General features: G+C 42.2%; 2 annotated features.

Moving 5' to 3' along the window:
• Nucleotides 11,922-11,981: a silencer, noted in NCBI's record as "silent region_9367". NCBI's record gives its function as "represses an Ori minimal core promoter by ATAC-STARR-seq in GM12878 lymphoblastoid cells {active_cell/tissue: GM12878}" and the evidence as "EXISTENCE:reporter gene assay evidence [ECO:0000049][PMID:35858748]".
• Nucleotides 12,162-12,331: an enhancer, noted in NCBI's record as "active region_13172". NCBI's record gives its function as "activates an Ori minimal core promoter by ATAC-STARR-seq in GM12878 lymphoblastoid cells {active_cell/tissue: GM12878}" and the evidence as "EXISTENCE:reporter gene assay evidence [ECO:0000049][PMID:35858748]".

The following is a 19,498-nucleotide window of genomic DNA, read 5'->3' on the forward strand; positions in this document are numbered from 1 at the left end:
GAATGGAGTGGTCCTATGAAATCTTTTCCCAGTTGAACCTCAGGGGGTGCATGCCCAAGTATTCACATGTATTTTCTAAAGTATATATATATATAAAATATATATTGTATTTCATTCAATCTAAGATGCTGTCAAGATAAGACATATTGTTATTTTGTTTACTATATTAGTCTGTTTTCATGCTGCTGATAAAGACATACTCAAGACTGGGAAGAAAAAGAGGTTTAATGGACTTACAGTTCCACATGGGTGGGGAGGCCTCACAATCATGGTGGAAGGCAAGGAGGAGAAAGTCACTTCTTACATGGATGGTGGCAGGCAAGGAGAGAGAGCTTGTGCAGGGAAACTCCCATTTTTAAAACGATCAGATCTTGTGAGACTCATTCACTATCACCAGAACAGCACAGAAAAGACCCACTGCCATAATCCAATCACCTCCCACCAGGTTCCTCCCACAACACATGGGAATTGTGGGAGTTACAATTCAAGGTGAGATTTGGGTGGGGACACAGCCAAACCATATCATTTACCATTATGAAAGAGAAAATGCTGCAAATTGTCTGATACAATACTTTAAAAAATCACATTGACAATAAGCTTCATTCTGATTTTAGAGTTGAGATGTGGACAATATGTGTCTTAGAAGTGATGAAGTATGATGTTTGTGTGATAAGTGAACTGAACGAGGCTAATTCTCTGTGAAACGAGAGTTTGAAAAATAAATCCTATGATGGTACATGCATATATTTATTAAACAAGTGTTTATTGAAGGTCTATCATGTATTGGCTACTTATTGTAAAGATACCCGTGAACCGTGCCAATAAGGTTTAGATTCTGCAGGAACAGGAATTTTCCTTTGGGCTTCTCTTAGTACACCACCAGGCACTCCACAGATGCTCAGTAGATGCTTACTGAAAAGGCATACTTGAGGCATTTTCATTCAAACAGAAGGTGAATCCTAGCTTTAAAATTCAAGTATTTAATATTTGCACTAGAGGAACTTTAGAATATTTTTTCCATTATAATAAAAGTAATGTGTATTTATTGTAAGAAGAAAAGACAATACTAAAACAATTCATATATACAAAGAGTAGCCATAATTATTAGTTTGGTGAATGTATTAGTCTGTTCTAGCATTGCTATAAGGAACTACCTGAGACTGGGTAATTTATAAAGAAAAGAGGTTTAATTGACTCACAGGTCAGCAGGCTGTACAGGAAGCATGCCTGGGAGGCCTCAGGAAGCTTACAATCATGGCAGAAGGTGGAGACAAACCAGGCATGTCTTACGTGGCCAGAGCAGGAGGAAGAGAGAGAAGGGGAAGCTGCTACACACTTTTAAACAACCAGGTCTGTTGAGAACTCACTATCATGATACCAGCAAGGGGGAATCTGCCCCCATCATCCAATCACCACCAGGCCTCTCCTCCAACATGGGGGATTACAATTTGATATAAGATTTGGGCGGGGACACAAATCCAAACCATATCAGTGTAGATGTTTCTAAAGAAAAAAATATATAATGTAATCTCATTTTTTGGAAACACATATTTGCATATATAAATTTCTAAAGATATCTTCAGGCAAATGCTTTCATAAAATGAAGCCTTCTGTTCTAGAATGAGTAATTACTGCTCTCTCCCCCAAACATGGCAGGCTTATAAAATCTGATTTTTAAATATTTATTTGCTCATCTTAAATCCAGACCCAAATCCACTGGCATAATTGGCAGAACATTCCTAAGAATATTGGCTTCTAAGTATTGTCTTCAGTTGGTGTGTATAGAAATGGACCCCTGAAGAGTGAAGAAGGGCTTTGGGATATAAATGCTGATTAGGAATGACACTGTAGGTCAAATGGTTTTTTTTGTTTGTTTTTTTGTTTTTGAGATGGAGTCTTGCTCTGTTTCCCAGGATGGAGTGCAACAGCGTGATCCTGGCTCACTGCAAACTCTGCCTCCCAGGTTCAAGCGATTCTCCTGCCTCAGCCTGCCGAGTAGCTGGGATTACAGGTGCCCACCACCACGCCCAGCTAATTTTTGTATTTTTGGTAGAGATGGGGTTTTGCCATGTTGGTCAGGCTGATCTTGAACTTCTGACCTCAGGTGATCTGCCAGCCTCGGCCTCCCAAAGTGGTGGGATTATAGGCGTGAGCCACCGAGCCCAGCTGGTTAAGTGTTTTTATGGGTCATGAAGCTTTCGTCATAAGTAGCTGAAGTATCCTAATAGCAATTTTTTTTTTTTGAGATGGAGTCTCACTCTGTTGCCTAGGTTGGAGTGCAGTGGTGCAATCTAGGCTCACTGCAGCCTCTGCCTCCTGGGTTCAAGTGATTCTCTTGCCTCAGCCTCCTGAGTAGCTGGGTAGCTGGGATTATAGGTGCCTGCCAACAAGCCCCAGCTAATTTTTGTATTTTAGTAGAGACAGGGTTTCACCATGTTGGCCAGGCTGGTCTTGAACTCCTGACCTCAGGTGATCTGCCCACCTCGGCCTCCCAAAGTGCTGGGATTACAAGCATGAGCCACCACATCCGGCCCTAATTGGGATTTTACAGAACTATTTTTGTGGCTTTTCAGTAACAATTTTCCTGTAGTAAAGATCTTGGTATTTGAAGAAACCTTTTTTCACATTATGATTTCAGAAAAAGAATTTCTAGAATACAAAGAAAATTTTTATTCTAATAATTGCTATCAGTCAAAGTTGAATGAAGAAAAGAGAAACCATGTTAATTATTTCAAGCAGAAGAAATTTAATGCGGGGAATTGGTTAACCCAGAGATTAATACTTTGAGAAAAGAGCTAACATCTTAGGTATTGAGAGAATATAAGGGGAGAAGTGATGTTATCAAAATCTAGGATCTTGGAGAAGTATCTGGAGGACTGATGCTTGGATTTCTGATTGATTTGTGATGCTTTGTGGTTAGGGCTTGGGCATCCCAAGGGATGGGGCCAGCTGGTGCTCAGACTGCCACATGGGGTTGAGGGACAGCCGTGGCGGCTGCAGCTGGTCCCTCGGATGGGGTACATTGAAGTAGGAGGCTTGTTGTGCACTGCTGCTGGAGAGATGTCAACTCACGCTAGAAGTGCTAAGTGAGTTTCTTCTCAGTACCTCCCATCTTCCTATTTCTTGCCCGTGTTTTCCATTGGTGGAAGCTAACTGAGAACCAGTTGATGAGAGAGTCTGAGAAGTAGGTGTGACTCCTAGCTCCAGCCTTATGGTGTGGTATCTGAAAAGGTGGGCTTGAAGCTTATAGACAACAGAGAAATAACTGGCAAATGCATCGTGTGTTTAAGCATAATAATGTAGAACTTTGGCCTTTAGGGATTCACACCTACAGTTTCAACTGTACCATAAGCAGCCTACCACTCCATTACATATTGTAATTTGTAGTTTTCTTTTTCTTTTCTTTTCTTTTTTTTTGAGACAGAGTTTCACTCTGTCGCCCAGGCTGGAGTGCAGTGGCACAATCTCAGCTCACTGTAGCCTCTGCCTCTCGGGTTCAAACCATTCTCCTGCCTCACCCTCCCAAGTAGCTAGGGCTACAGGTGTGAGCCACCATGCCCAGGTAATTTTTGTATTTTTAGTAGAGATGGGGTTTCCCTATGTTGGCCAGTCTGGTCTTGAACTCCTGGCCTCAAGCGATCCACCTGCCTCAGCCTCCCATAGTGCTGGGATTACAGGTGTGAGCCACTGCCCCCAGCTAGTAATTTGTATTTTTCTTAAGGCACAAATTCAAATCATGTTCCATTAGGTGGGTATGCTGAGTGACTTGGCTGCGAAACCTAGCACCCTTGTGCCAGTGAAGTTTTCTCTGTTCCTGTTAGCAATGCTTACGAAGTGTCTAACATTTTTTTGTGTTGTTGATGGAGGTGAGGGAGGAATGAGGAACTCCAAGAAGGTGTGGAGCAGTGGCTCAGCTCTGAATTCGGTGAGTTCGCTCTACATTTCATAACAGAGGTTCCAAGAGTTCATGGATGCATCTGGTCAATACGATGAGTTGAATTTGTTGTCATGAATTATAAATGGGAAAATTTCTCCTTAAAATTGGGATTTTAGCTTTTTTTTTTCTTTTTTTGCCTGAAAAAAATTGAAAGATTCAGTGATATTGGGCCCACATTCTCTCAAGAAAACAATTTGCTGAATCCGGTAGTGGACAGAGACACCCGTCAGCCCCCAGGGTTCCACTTTCCTCATTTAGGCCTTTTCATGTGCCGGTTTCTCCCTTTTGACATCCAGATTGCAACCCCTACTCTACAAGTAAAAAGAAAGTGATTCATGAAATTATTTTAGTGAGTACCCCGGAAAGTACAAACATTGCCTTTTCTGTTGGAAATTTTATGTTCTCGGGGGTTCATCAATTAGGATTCTCTTGGATACAAATGATAGAAACACAATTTGAACCACCTGGGCAAAAGTGAGCTAATTGGCTTTTACAACCAAAGTACATAAAGACAGTGGTGGGAGCTGACCCCAGGGAAGGCCAAAGCCAGAGATTCCAACAACTTCATTTTCTCAGACTGCCTTCTGCACAGGGCTGGAACGATGGATGCCTGTGTTCCTCTTAATCGGATAGAAAAAGGGTCTCTCCTAGTAACACTGAGAAAAAAATGCTGGAAAAAATCAATAGAGTGCCCAGCTGGTATCTTGTGCATGTCACTGAACCAGTCTCTAGAGGGGAGGGTGGATGCCAGGACTGCCCACCTATGTCAGTTCCTCTTCCTGGCAGGGAAGTAGGATCTGCTCTTTTCAAACCAGGTGAGCAGAAGAGGGAGGAACAATTTCCTCAAATGAAGGGGTGTACGGTTACCAGAAGAAGAAGGTAGACAGTCTGGGCAATATAGCAGAACCCCATCTCTGCAAACAAATTAGCTGGGCCTGGTGGTGTGTGCCTGTGATCCCAGCTACTCGGGAGGCTGAGATGAGAGGACTGCTTGAGCCTGGGAGGTCTTAGGCTGCAGTGAGCCATGATTGCACCAGTGCACTCCAGCCTGTGTGACAGAGTGAGAAAGAAAAAACAAAAGAGGAGGTAGAGATAATAAATGTCTACTCTGAGGGTTATTCAAAAATTGGAGCTGTCGTGAAGATCTGATTGTCTTCCTTGTACACATTGTGCAGACCTTCCACAATGTGCAGACCTTCCACAGCCTTTGCACTATGACTGTATCCCCACCCTTTGCATTCTGACTTCGTAGCTTCTTCCATCAAGAGTGACTTGCTTTGGCCAACAGACTGCTGTCAACAGGCAGTGAAAATGACACCTTGCCAGTTCCAAGCCTAGCCTCAAGAAGCCTGTGCCCATCTGTTCTATCTCTTGGCAGTTTTCCCAGCTGCCAGGTGAACATGTCCCAGGCTAGACTCCTGGAGGATGAGAGACCACGTGGAGCAGAATCAAGGTGTCTTAGGTGAGGCCATCTAAGACCAGCCAGCCTCACTCAGGCTAACTCAGCAGCTGATTGAAGATGCGTGGGCAATCCCAGGCAAAATGAGATCAGCTGAAGGAAGCCTAGCATGGCCTAGACAAGAAGAATCACCCAGCTGACCCAGAGACTCCTGAGCAATGATAAGACTACATTCTGGGAGTGTTTGCTATTCAGCAATAGCTAACTGACATGTCAAGCAGTTACCCTGGTGTGTATTAAACAGCCTCCGAAAGTTGAGTAGAAAAGAGAAGCAGATATTTACATTGCTTATTCTTGTGTGATAGCTAAGACAGAAGCTACTGAACATTATCATGCAAGAGAACCAACTTTTTTTTAAGGTCATGACTATTTCTCAATATTCATTGAGAAATGATTTAGTGGTAAAGATAATTGATTTTGAAATATCGTAAACTACACAACATAACAATAGTAGGATAGAGGCACCCAAGAGAGTAAAATTGTACTGTGAGAATGGAAGAGGAAGGGCATCGCAGGGAAAAACAGGCTGTTCTTAGCTATGAGCATCTTTCCCTGAATTACCTCATTCAGTCTCTTCAAGTTTCCACCTTGAGTCATATACTGCAACCTAAGGACTGCTTATGCACTTTGTATTAAATAGTGCCTTTTTAAAAAATGCATTTCTCCTTGCTTATGTTCATAGTCATTTCTTCACATGCTTCTACTTCTGTGAGGGAATAAAAGAAGAAAGGGGACCTTAAAGAGAACCAGCCCATTTGGTTAAAGATTAGTAGCTCTTGTGAAAGGATTAGTAGAAGGAGTCGGCTTTATCTCTTATTTCAAATTTCCAAACCGCCTGTTCTCTGCTCTCTTACTAAATTTCACAGTTGATCATAAAAGAAAACAACCTGCAAAATAAGTTTAGGGTAACTGTGAACATTTTTCTGATATTCACCCTTACTGAAACTTTCCAATAGGCAAGATAAAGATGTAAAAAAAAAAGATATGCTTTTTCCTCCATAGGAAGACACTTACCAGTTTCTTCTTAGATAACTGGAAACAAATGTTTTTAAAATTATTACTCTGTCTTTCCTGTTTCCTTGCCTCCAATGTAGGCCATCTGGGTCATGGCCCAGTTAGATGGGTGGTTGCAGGTTCTACGTTTCCTGGCCTCTCATTTCTGGAATCAAGTTGGTGTGAGTACAATTCTTATTTTGTATTTTTTTTCCATTTAGCGTCACATGGATGATCTGAAGTTCTGAAGGCCATATTCTTCTAGCCCATTCTCGAGACTGAGGAAAATCCCTGATGCTTTGAGACGATAGCCCCTAGCCAGGTTCATAGCATGGAGTGGTTACTAGGGGACGGGGTAGGCAGAGCCCTTGCCTTCAAGGAGTTAGAGATCGCCTGGCACGGAGTCAACAGGAACGTGAGCATGAATGTGCGCCGCAGTGAAGTGACATAGCTTGATTAATTGCTTCTTTTATAGTACTATTTGTAGGGACGCAAGAGAGGGCAGTGCTGTACAGCTGCCCCACTGCAGAGCAGCCCTGCTTGGCCCTGTATCTTTTCAGGCAACCCAGTCCTTCCACAGCAAGGCTGTGTAGCTGATGTCTTGGACATTGTATAGACAAGGCTTTGACTGGAGAAGGCTGAAATAGGATTTGCATGGATAATGGTAATGCAGAAATTTAGGTACGGTACTTACTCCACCAGCACAGGGATGAATGGCCTCATTCCTTAGAAACAAATGGATGAAGAGAGTAGTTGACTTGCCTCCGGCAGCACAATCAGCAGGTGCTGAAGCCAGAACTTGAATTCAGGGATCTGAAACTTGAGTCCAGGTGCTGAAGCTTCATCCCACACTGTCTCTCGACTCTCAGGGGGCTCTGTTCACACCATTCTCACATAGGGAAGTTAATAAGACAGAGCATGTAGAAAGAGGTGACTGGTAAGTGGACCAAACAAAAAACTGAATCAAATCAAATCAAAACAAAACAAATCGCCTGGGCGTGGTGGCTCACGCCTGTAATCCCAGCACTTTGGGAGGCCAAGGTGGGTGGATCACTTGAGGTCATGAGTTGGAGACCAGCCTGGGCAACATGGTGAACAAAAATTAGCCGTGCGTGGTGGTGAGCACCTGTAGTCCCAGCTACTCAGGAGGCTGAAGTGGGAGGATCATTTGAGCCTAGGAGGTCGAGGCTGCAGTGAGCTGAGATCACCCCACTGCACTCCCGCCTGCACCACAGAGAGAGATTCTGTCTCAAAAAAGAAAAAACAACAAACAAACAAACAAACAAACAAACCCCAAACAAACAGGACCAAAACTAAAAAGCAAATCTAAATCAACAAAATCCCGAAGTTAGGTCTTTCCCCCATCCATGTCAGCAGTCTCTGTGTTGTCCACCAGATGTCAGTAGCTCCACATAGTTTTTCTCTGTTCTGGTTCTGTCTGTGCAGCTACTGAGTACACGGGTAGGGTTGTTTTGTGTTACAATGTAAAGCAGTCTGATCACAGCACCCCACTCACTTCTCAATATTTTGTATTAAATTAAACTCAGAAAATCAGTTAAGGCTACATAAACGCCCTAAAAAATGATAAAACAATGACTTCTCCTTCTCCCCTGCTAGAAGGTAAGGCTGCCCCAGGTGCTCACATGAGGGCATACGTGCACACACACGCACTTCGCTGCATCCACCCCCACACCTGCCCTCTCCACGCGTGACACACTTCTGTTCATCCACACAGACACAGGCCCACACCAACCCACACATATCCACCCCCAATATCCACTCCACACACCACACAACCCACCCCATCCACCTCCTATCCACATTACACACACACACACACACACACACACACACACCTCGCTGCCCTGTGACATTACAAACCAGAATCACTTCTTCAAGAATCCCTTAAAATCCCCTGAGACTATAAGGTAAGTAGAAAAGTTTTTTCTGTATCTATGTCATTAGTGTCATTCCTGAATCTTTCCTAACAATATTAAAAACTACCGGCTTTTTTTTTTTTTTTTTGATGAAGTCTTGCTCTGTCACCTAGGCTAGAGTGCAGTGGCATGATCTTGGCTCACTGCAACCTCCACCTCCCAGGTTCAAGCGATTCTCCTGCCTCAACTTCCTGAGTAGCTGGGATTACAGCCCGCCACCATGCTCGGCTAATTTTTGTATTTTTGGTAGAGATGGGGTTTCACCATATTGGCCAGGCTGGTCTCGAACTCCTGACCTCAGGCGATCCACCCCACCTTGGCCTCCCAAAGTGCTGGGATTACAGACATGAGCCACTGTGCCCCAACTAAAAGCTTTTGGCTTTTTAAAAATAGCCACACTCCAGGACCTCCACAACTTTAAAAAAATCTTACTTCCTCAAAATCCACTGAAAAAAGGTACTTCTTATCTTACCCATTCACAAACCTATGTCCATCTTTCCTAAACAATTCTTCTGTTGGCATTTCTCTTATATCTACTCTTACATCCCCAGTTCCCAGTGAGCTCTCAAAGTAGCTGTCTATTTCTTAGTAAAAACCACATGTTAAGTATCCAGTAAATTCAAGATCTCTAACTTCAAATATCTCCCCAGAAGCAGAATTTTCAACTTCTATTCTTTTTTTCCTTTACGAAAGCACCATCTACTGGCTATAGTTGGTATTGTAGCTCAGTTCCAGTTAATGCCCAACCCCAAAAGAAGCAACAGAGCTTCTTTTGTAATTAAATGATCAGGGTATAAACAGTGATACGATTTTTATTACAAAAATAGTTTCTAATTTCATATTACACCATTTTCCATGAATCTAATTCACATTTTATTTATTTATTTATTTTGAGACAGGGCCTCGCTCTGTTGCCCAGGCTGGAATGCAGTGGCACAATCTCAGCTCATTGTAGCCTCCACCTCCCGTGCTCAAGTGATTCTCCCATCTCAGCCCCCCGAGCAACTGAAGCTACAGGCATGTACCACCACGCCTGACTAATTTGTGTGTATGTGTGTGTGTGTGTGTGTGTGTGTTTTGTAGAGACGGGGCTTCACCATGTTGCCCAGTCTGGTCTCCAACTCCTGAGCTCAAGTGATCCGCCCACCTTGGCCTCCCAAAGCGTTGGGATTACAGGCATGAGCCACTGCGCCCGGCCTCTCATTACACATTTTAAGTCGTTATCTTTAGCCATGGGGTGACTTCCTTCTTGGTCACTGAGGCAGCATGTGCATGTTGGGGTGACGTTTACTGTTTCTATAAGTTGTACCAAAACATCTACTTAACCTTTTACATTTGTGCCATTCCTTCACATAAAGACATATGGTACCCCTTCCCCATCAAATCTTTATCTTACCCCACATATTTTATATTATTTAAATTGGGTCATCTGTTACACTCAAATTTTTGCTTTTATGAAACTCTGTCTTTGATAATATAATAGATGCTAATGGGGGAAATAATGTATGTTTTGGTGAAAATTGTTCTAAGGTCAAATTTTCAGGATTGATCTATTTCATGATGTAGGCATTATTTATAATTCACAAAATAAGCCTATTTCTCTTTTTTTAGACAGACTCTCACTCTGTCACCCAGGCTGGAGTGCAGTGGTTCGACCTTGGCTCAATGCAACCTCCACCTCCCAGGTTCAAGTGATTCTCCTGCCTCCGCCTCCTGAGTAGCTGGGATTACAGGCACGTGCCACCACGCCCAGCTAATTTTTGTATTTTTAGTAAAGACAGGGTTTCACCATGTTGGCCAGGCTGGTCTCGAATTCCTGACCTCAGGTGATCCACCCACAGTGGCCTCCCAAAGTGCTGGGATTACCGGCGTGAGCCACCATGCCCAGCTTGGCTTTTTAGATTTATTAAAAATTGCAACTGACTAGGGACAGTCCCAGATAGTGTTAATAGAGTTAATACGTTCATTCCATCTCTATCAATATGTGTTTTGTATACTAAAATCTTATGAGATTTTGTTCTGTAACTTGGGAAAGAGAAAGAAAAATATTTTGGAGAAGAAAATCGGGGAATAAAAGTGGGGAAAAAGGAGCTGGGAAGAAAGAGGAAGAAAAAGAAAGCAGTGTATAATGTAATTATCTTCCTGGCTTATATTTGAACTCCTCTGGATAGAGGAATGATGACCAGAAGTTATGAATTATTTTATAAACACAAAAGTTGATAAAACCTTTCAAAAGACACTTTGTGATTCTCTTGGCATAACAGAGCTGCCTTAGTGACCAGATGTCACAATGTGATACAGAGCCAGAGAGGAAGTCATTTTTGTCCATGATGCAAGGAACCCAGCATTTTGACAACCCAGATGGAATGTGGAGCTCCCATGGAAGAAACGTGTCATCTGGAGGCCTGCATAACCACTGCATTCTCCAGATGGGCACTGGAAGCGCTGAGGCTTCCCACCCAGAAGGTCCACGTGGTGGACAAGGGCAAGTGACAACCAGAGCCACGACTCAAAAGAGGGTGGCTGCTTCAGGCTGATTTCCTTTGACAGACTGGTTTATGGACGTGTGCAAGGGCCTCTCTTTGGGAACTGTCAGAAATGACAGGAGAGATACAAGAAGGTCAACGTCTGGAAATCCGACAAAATGGGCTTAATTCATTGTAATTTTGTTTGCTTTTAAAAAATTAAATCTCTGTCTATATGTGTATATATACATATTTTAAATACATATATATTTAAATACATATATCTGTATTTTAAATACATATATCTGTATTTTAAATACATGTATATTTAAATACATATATCTGTATTTTAAATACATGTATATTTAAAATACATATATCTGTATTTTAAATACATGTATATTTAAATACATATATCTGTATTTTAAATACATGTATATTTAAGTACATATATGTTTTTATATATACGTATATTAAAATACATATATGTATTTATATACATATAAAAACATATATGTATTTATATATACGTATATTAAATTACATATATGTATTTATATATACATATATTAATACATATATGTATTTATATATACATATATTAATACATATATGTATTTTATATATACATATATTTATTTATTTAAATACATATATGTATTTTATATATACATATATGTATTTTATATATACATATATGTATTTATTTAAATACATATATTTACATACATTTATGTATTTTAAATACCTCATTAGGTATTTAAAATGCATACAAATATAAAATAAATATAGGTATTTGAAATATATATAAAAATATAAAAAACATATAGGTATCTTAAATACCTAATGAGGTCTGGGATATCTGGGCAATGTCTATTAGCTTAACTAACAGCGTCAGTGATAACCCTTATTACCCATGGTAAGAAGCAAGCGGGTATAACATGGATAATTAGTACGTCCAGAGGAAATGGAGAGGGCATAGAACCCACTCGAGCTTCTATATTCCAATTACTTCCGGGATTGCGTGGATAAATAACATGGCTGTAAACAGGGGAGAGGGGATGAGAATAGTTTAAAACCCATGCATGTAGCTTGACTGATTGGTTCTAGAAGTTACCAGGGCATTGATCAGGGTTAGCGGGGCGCTTGGCTGATTCCTTCTGCAAAGCACATGCTAGTTTTCACACTTGCATGTGAAACGTCTAAAGCCATATCAGAACTGAGACAGGAAATGAAAGGTGATAAAACCACAGCCCCCCACTCCAGCTCCGCTCTGCACAGCTGCTCTGCTTCTTCACACAGGCCGACTTCAATGGAAGCTCGATGCATGCAGAACTGCCCAGGGACCTGGCCTCTTCACCTCATCACATTTTGAGGTGGGCAACACCAGCTTTTGAATCAGGAAGCAATTTGAAAATCAGTCATGTTTGGATCCCTCAGGCCTGGTTTCATCTGATTAATAAGCTCTGCTTTCAAAGCTCCCCCTGGACAGTCTCCCTCCCCAAACCCACTCTCCAAGTGTCTGCAAGCCGACTCCTCGGCTCCCTTTTGAGCAGGTCCAGCAATAGGAATCGGGCAGCCTTACCCAGAAGGACTAGCCCAGCATCGGCTGACCTTGCCAGGAGGAATTTCTCTCTCCAGCTTGAATTTCCTTCCTGCCTAACTTTAGGCCTTTACTGGGGACCACGCTCCCCTTTGACCACCCGGAATAAATCTCCCCTGCATCCCTGACAGCTGCTGATTTGGCTTCTTTCTTATTTTTTTTTTTAATTGAAAGTAAACCTTCAAAGTGGCCCAGCCACCTGAGAAGCTCGGCTGAGCGTGGCAGCTGGGCAGTGAACCTGAAACAGCGGCGCGGCGTTTCACCGGGTCCCCTCCCGCTCAGGGCAGAAATCATGGGGTTTTGTGGGCTGCCAGGGCCGCTTAGCTTTCAATTTAGCTTTTGCATTAGAAAAAGGGAATATGGACATGGGTCAAATGATTGTGGAGTGATTTTGAAAGTAGCTGTGTAACAGGCGAGAGATGGGGGCAGGGGGAGGTTTGATTTGCAGGCAGAATGCAAGTTTATTTATAAGAGAAATCTAGGGGTGTCTTTGTGCTTTCCTGTTAGACTCTTGGAAGCACTTTGAAGAAGGAAATAAAATTTAAAAAACATATTCAAATTTAACAATCAGTCTTGAACACCGGGAAGCGACAATGTACAGGATGGCACAGAGAGGGTCAAGATTGCTAGAATTTTCTTTTAGGGTCTTCTCCTTGTTACCTTGTTATTTTAAGCTGGTCACTTCAACTCTCTATATCTTCCCCCAAACACATTTTATTTTTGTTTTGGAAAGTTTTAAATATTCAGAAAAGTTGAAAAAATAATATAACAAGTTCATATCCACCACCTAGATTCAACAATGGTTAACATTTTTTTCCATATTTGTTTTGTTGTTTTGTTTTTATCTTTATGTGTACACACACACAGACCCCCCCCCCCCGCCCACACACAGACACATTTGCTGAAACATTAGAAAGTAAGTTACAGGCAGCATGACAATTTATCCCTAATTAAATACCCGAGCATGCATTTCCTAATACTAACATTCTCCTAAATAACCCCAATACAATGATCACACCTAAGATAATGAAAAAGAATTCCCTAATAACATCTAATATCCAGGCCATATTAAAACTTCTCCAAGTGATTCAAAACTGTCTCTGATAAGTGTTTTTTGTTTTGAACCAGGAGCCAATCAAGTTTCACCCGTTACATTTGGTTGTTGTCTTTTTAATCTCTTGCTCTCTCATCTCTCATTGAGGCAGAACCTACATACAAGTGTATAACCTTAAACCTGTACCTTGATCAATTTTTACATACTTATGTAAAAATTGTGACCCCTATATGACCACCAACCAGGTTGATATATGGAATATTTTTATTGCCCCTGAAGGTTGCCCCAAGCTGTTTCTCTGTCAATATGACCTCTTCCCCATCCCCTAGAAGGGGCAAGGGTATGAAACAACTGAACCTCCCAGATCCTTTGGCTGAAAGTGCAAATTGGTTGAACCACTTAGGAAAATTGTTGGCAGTATTTAAAACCCTTCAATAGATACTGATTCTATGAACCAGTAATTCGTCTCCTAAGTCTACACCACAGAGTTGCATATGCCATCAAAGACCCGTGCAAGAATGCTTACAACAGCTTTATTCACAATGTCCCCAAGTTGGAAATGTCACAGATATCCATCAACAATAAAATAGATAACTGAATTGTGGCATATGTATATACAAAGAAATGCTACACAGTAACAAAAGGAAAGAGATACTGCATCTTGCAATAGCATAGATGAATCTCAGACATGTTGAGTGAAAGAAGCTTGATACAAGAGCACAGGCTGTATGAATCCTTGTAGATGAAAGCCAAAAAGAGGCATAAACTATCATCGACTGTGACTGAAGTCTTTAGAGTCCTTTAATTAATAATCATCATGTTTTTTTTTCTCCCCCACGATATTTTCTCTTTGGAGAAAGTAGATGAGTTGTTTTGTAGAATATGTTACATTCTGGATTTGTCTGATTATTTTCTCATTGAACTTGACCCTTCACAACTGGGGACCCATGAGAGAATTGAGGTGTGTTGTCCTAAGGCACTCATTTTAGGTCGTGAATTAACTTCTATCCCATGCAACTAGAATAGTAGTAGTTATGTTCCATTCTTAGGAGAACTGACAATCATCACTCAACTCATATTCTGTGGATCCATGGTTCAGTTGAGGAACTAGCTGAGAAAGGCTTACTGAAAGATATTAAGGCTCAATTAGAGTCAAGTCATTTTGGGCAAGATTATTTTACAGTTGGTACCATTTACTTCCTACTGTATCATGCTGGGAGGCATTTAACATCAGGTTGTTACACCATTAGTGATGTGGTTGTGAGTTTGATTGTTTGGTTAAGGTGGTGACCACCTCAACCGCTTCATTGTAAAGAATGTTCTCCTTGGTCTCCATGGTTTAACAACCTTATTTGTCAACATGCAGTACTCATAGGCCAGTATCTCCCACTTGATGGAATGGTTTATTCTCAGCAAATTTAGCTACGAGGTAAAATTCTTCAAAGAAAATTGTTATTTCACCTACAAGAGCTTCACTCTAAAGTAGGAGCTTCATACCATAAACACACAACTGTAATAACACATTTGTAATCTTTAAGATTTTTAGATAACATCAAATGAATTCACTTCTTACTTGAGATAATCTGATAAACATCATTCATGACATTAAAACTGATCTAGGACATATGATTTTGCATTTATATACATTTGGTGGTGGTAAGTATTATGATAAAAATAGTGTTTAAATCATTGGCAGAAACTAAATTAAGGATTTCATGAATATACGTAGATCTTGGAGCTGGAAGAGATGTGTTTCAAAGCATTCTACAGTAGAAAAAATAACTCTTAAGAACTCACTCTTGTACTCTAACTTAAAGGAGGGAAAGTGGTTTAAGCATGATTATCAACAGATTTCATGCGAAGAAAATCATTTAAAGTGACTTAGATGGACTTTAGTGCATAATAATCACACCAATCCAGAAATTTCATGAAGAAAACGAAGGGTCACATCTCTGAGCAATCATAGCCAACCTATTCCAAGTCTTGACATCCTTGAGGCAGATTAAAGATGGACACAAATTGGTTGACAATCTTTCTTTCAAGAGATTGGGTCCATGTCTCCTTTCCCGGGAGATTGGTAGGCCCTGTAGCTGCTTTGACCGAGAGCATACAGTGCAGGTGAAGATGTGCACATTCCTGCACCCAAGTCTTCAAAGACTGGGAGCTACCTCTTACTATCTTTGGAAACACCCACTTCTGGAACCTAGCCATTGTGCTGCAGAAAGCCCCAGCAGTCCTGGGGAGGGGCCCATGTGGAGAAGAACTCAGACCCCTAACTCACATCTCTGATTCGGATCCCAGCTGATAGCTGGCACCAACTTGGCAGCCATGTGAGGGAACCATTCTTGAAAGTGGATCCTCTAGTCCTCGTTGGGCCACCTCAAATGATGCTTCATGGAGCAGAGGTGGCCATCTCTGCCAAGCCCTGAACATAATTGCAGATTGTGGAGTAAAATAAATAAGTATTCTTTTTTTTTTTTTTTTTTGAGACTGGGTCTTACTCTGTTGCCCAGGCTGTAGTGCAGTAGCATGATCTCAGCTCACTGCAACCTCCACTTTCCAGGCTCAAGTGATTCTTGTACTCAGCCTCCCAGGTAGCTGGAATTATAGGCATGCACCACCATGGCTGGCTAATTTTGGTATTTTTAGTAGAGATGGGGTCTCACCATGTTGGCCAGGCTGGTCTTGAACTCCTGATCTAAAGTGATCTGCCTGTCTTGGCCTCCCAAAGTGCTGGGATTACAGGTGTGAGCCATCACACCCGGCCGAAATGAGTATTATACTCAAGCTGCTGGGTCTTGGAGTCATTTCTTAGGTACCAAAGTTAATGCAACAATCCTTATTTGTTATATGGTGATAAACCTACTTGTCTTGTATACACAGAGAGGGTAAAATACAATAGTGTATATAAAAGTGGTTTTCAAACTATAAAGCAATTCTATGCCAATGTAAGGTGTAAGTATCTGCAAAAACCAACAGAATAGGAGGATTCTGTAAATATTACTGATCTGAAGTTGGCATATTGCTCTAATTTCTGTGGATCCCACCTCCTGAAGTTGGAAACAGTACCAGTTCCTTTTTTTTCCCTGTAGTTAAAATATGCATAGCAAAATTTACCATCTTAGTCATTTTAAAGGGTACAATTCAGCGGCATTCAGTACATTCACACTTTTGTGCAACCATCACCACCATCTACCTCCAGCCATCCAGTTCCTTTTCATAACAGGAAATACATCTCCATAACAAGTATGATTTTCCATTCTAAACTTGAAGTGAAGCTAAATCATCTCAGCATCATGCATGAGAGTGATAATTTAAAGAGTGAGACCATGTGCGCTAAAGACAGGTTTTCTGAGAGACTCTAAGGAATGGCAGCCCACTGTCTGCAATCGAGTCTGAGAACGCTCTTCTCCTTCTCAGAGCTGGTCCCATTCCCTGAGAGCTTCAATTACTCATGTCAGCATGGGGATGGGGGAATATTTAGAGAGCAATGAGCACTTATTAAAAAGGGCCAAGAGAGCAAGTTTTCAAAGCTAGAACACTCCAGCAAAACCATTTCATATGTAAGCAGGCCCTCTGGAGTTAGCACACATATCCGCACCTGGACCCCACCTGGACATAATTAGTTTCCCTGAGCTCAGAGCAGAGCAAACACTGAAGAAAATGATGTCAAAAAATGGAGCAATCTGTCATGATCTGTGCTGCACAATTAAAGCAGTGTGCATTCTTTAAGAATTATGTAACACAGATGACACAGTATTTAGATAGCCAGAACTGGAAAACCATCTGGTTATGTTCTGCTTTACAACAATGATGTCTGTTTCTTGAATTGTGCTGTATGCCTTGGGATGGGTATCACAGAAAGAAAAGATGAAATGCTCTTGGTTGATATGTAGGAAGATCTTTTATCTACTTGAAAATGAACACATTCTATGGTCAAAGCTTTTAAAGTCCAAAAAAGCAGAATCCTCAGTTCTTAAGAATCAAAATGTAAAGCAGCCAAGGACTGAATAGACTCACAAGTCACAGCTGCACAGTGGTTAGTGTGCCATGAAACAAATGGGAAATGTATTCTGCAGACAAATGTGAGCCATTCTTGTCTCTCTCCTCCTGGGCCCTAAATCCCTGGGCTAGCACCCCATCTCCTCTGTGGTGTGTTCATCTTATCAGACTCTACACCATTGTCCTCTTGCTATGAGCACACAGGTTGAAATTAGCTCAGTGTTCCCCTCACTAGATGATTTTAATATTGAGTTAGTGCTTATTGACCAAAAATGGAGTGCCTAGAAATCCTAGTTTCTTGGGGTCACGCAGCAATCACTAGAAATAATTTATGAACGAATCCAGAAAGATCGGTTCATGAGGCTGGGTGCGGTGGCTCATGTCTGTAATCTCAGCATTTTGAAAGGCCGAGGCAGGTGGATCACCTGATGTTGGGAGTTCAAGACCAGCCTGGCCAACATGGTGAAACCCCGTCTCTACTAAAAATATAGAAATTAGCCAGGTGTGGTGGTGGGTGCCTGTAATCCCAGCTACCTAGGAGGCTGAGGCAGGAGAATCGCTTGAACCTGGGAGGTGGACGTTGCAGTGAGCTGAGATAGCGCCACTGCACTCCAGCCTGGGCAACAGAGTGAGACTCTGTCTCAAATAAACAAACAAAACAAAACAAAAAAAAGGAAAGATAGGTTCACAGTCAACAGTAAAGGTAGACTGATGATTAAAGTTCACTAAGGTGAGGCAGAGGGAATGGGGGTGTGAGGTTGAGCTGCATTCATTGTGAAGCTCTCCTTCCCTTCCAGGGAGGGCACCTCATGCCCAGCTCCACCACAGCACTGTTAACTGCCTGCCCCTGGGGACTGTGTTCCTGAGGGCTCAGGTTCAGTTTCTGGGAGCAATGAATGGAACTGTTACTTCCCAGCCTCCAGCTAAGTGCTTCCACAGTCCTTATTCACAACTGCGGGAGAGAACTTTACCTCCAGTTCAGAGATAGCGGGATAAGTCAAAGAGAGAACACAAAGTTGATACAAGGCCAAATGATGGGACAGGACTTTAGGTGCTGGGACTTCCTGAGGGTGCTCTCCCTGGGAATCCCCCAGCAGTGAGGGCACCCAGAGAGGGACGGGAAGGAGCTGAGCAAGTGAGGTCTCAGGTGGAGTCTGCCTTGGCCTGCCGAGGGTGGAGGGCTGCGGAGAGGGTCTCTGGAACCCAAATTGGACTGAAAAATTGTGCAACTTGGGCAAAGGAGTCAGGCTTTTGTGCCCCAGAATTAGCCATTATCAAAAGGGGATGGGGCACTCCCAGGGAGACACGTCACCTCCCAGGCTCATAGGTCAAGAAGCCATGAGTTAGAGAAGACCGCAGGTAAGAGCCCTCGCCAAGGGGCTCTGGGTGGGACATCGATCGAGTCCACCAAGGCCTTGCTGCCAGGGAGTGGGGACACCTGATGTGAGCCCAGATGAGCTGATGTCACTATGCCTTCCCTGACCCTCCGCCCTCCCCAAGTCTCATTGTCCTGCTGTCTTCACCAATCCTGCCTCTCCCTGCCCGTGTCCCAGTAACTGACCCATCAATCCACGTTTGCACAACAACTTAGTGGGGAGACAAATAAATCTGTGCTAAATAAAGGGGCAAATTTTGTGGGAATTTAGGAGAAAGAGAAATTACTTCTAACTAGGAGTTGGGGGTGTGTGGGTCAGAAATCAGGGATGGCCTCACAGAAGAGTTGCTTTTGAAAGTTGAGCAGGTGAGGAATGGGCAAAAGAGAATTTCAGGCTGGGAAAAGGCACATGGGCAGGAGACAGGGTGGCATATTTGGGAAACGATGAATAAACCTTGAGGCTTAGTTTCAGATATTTGGAAGTACCCCCTGGGAGATGGGCCTGCAGACATTGCCTGGGTCAGATCATGGAAACTTTCATCGTATTAAGGGATTAAAAGGTCATTCTTTTTTTTTTTTTTTTTTTTTTTTTTGAGACAGAGTCTTGCTCTGTCGACCAGGTTGGAGTACAGTGGTACGATCTTGACTCGCTGCAAGCTCCACCTCTCAGGGT

Source organism: Homo sapiens, chromosome 18, assembly GCF_000001405.40.
Source record: "Homo sapiens chromosome 18, GRCh38.p14 Primary Assembly".
Classification (NCBI taxonomy): domain Eukaryota; kingdom Metazoa; phylum Chordata; class Mammalia; order Primates; family Hominidae; genus Homo; species Homo sapiens.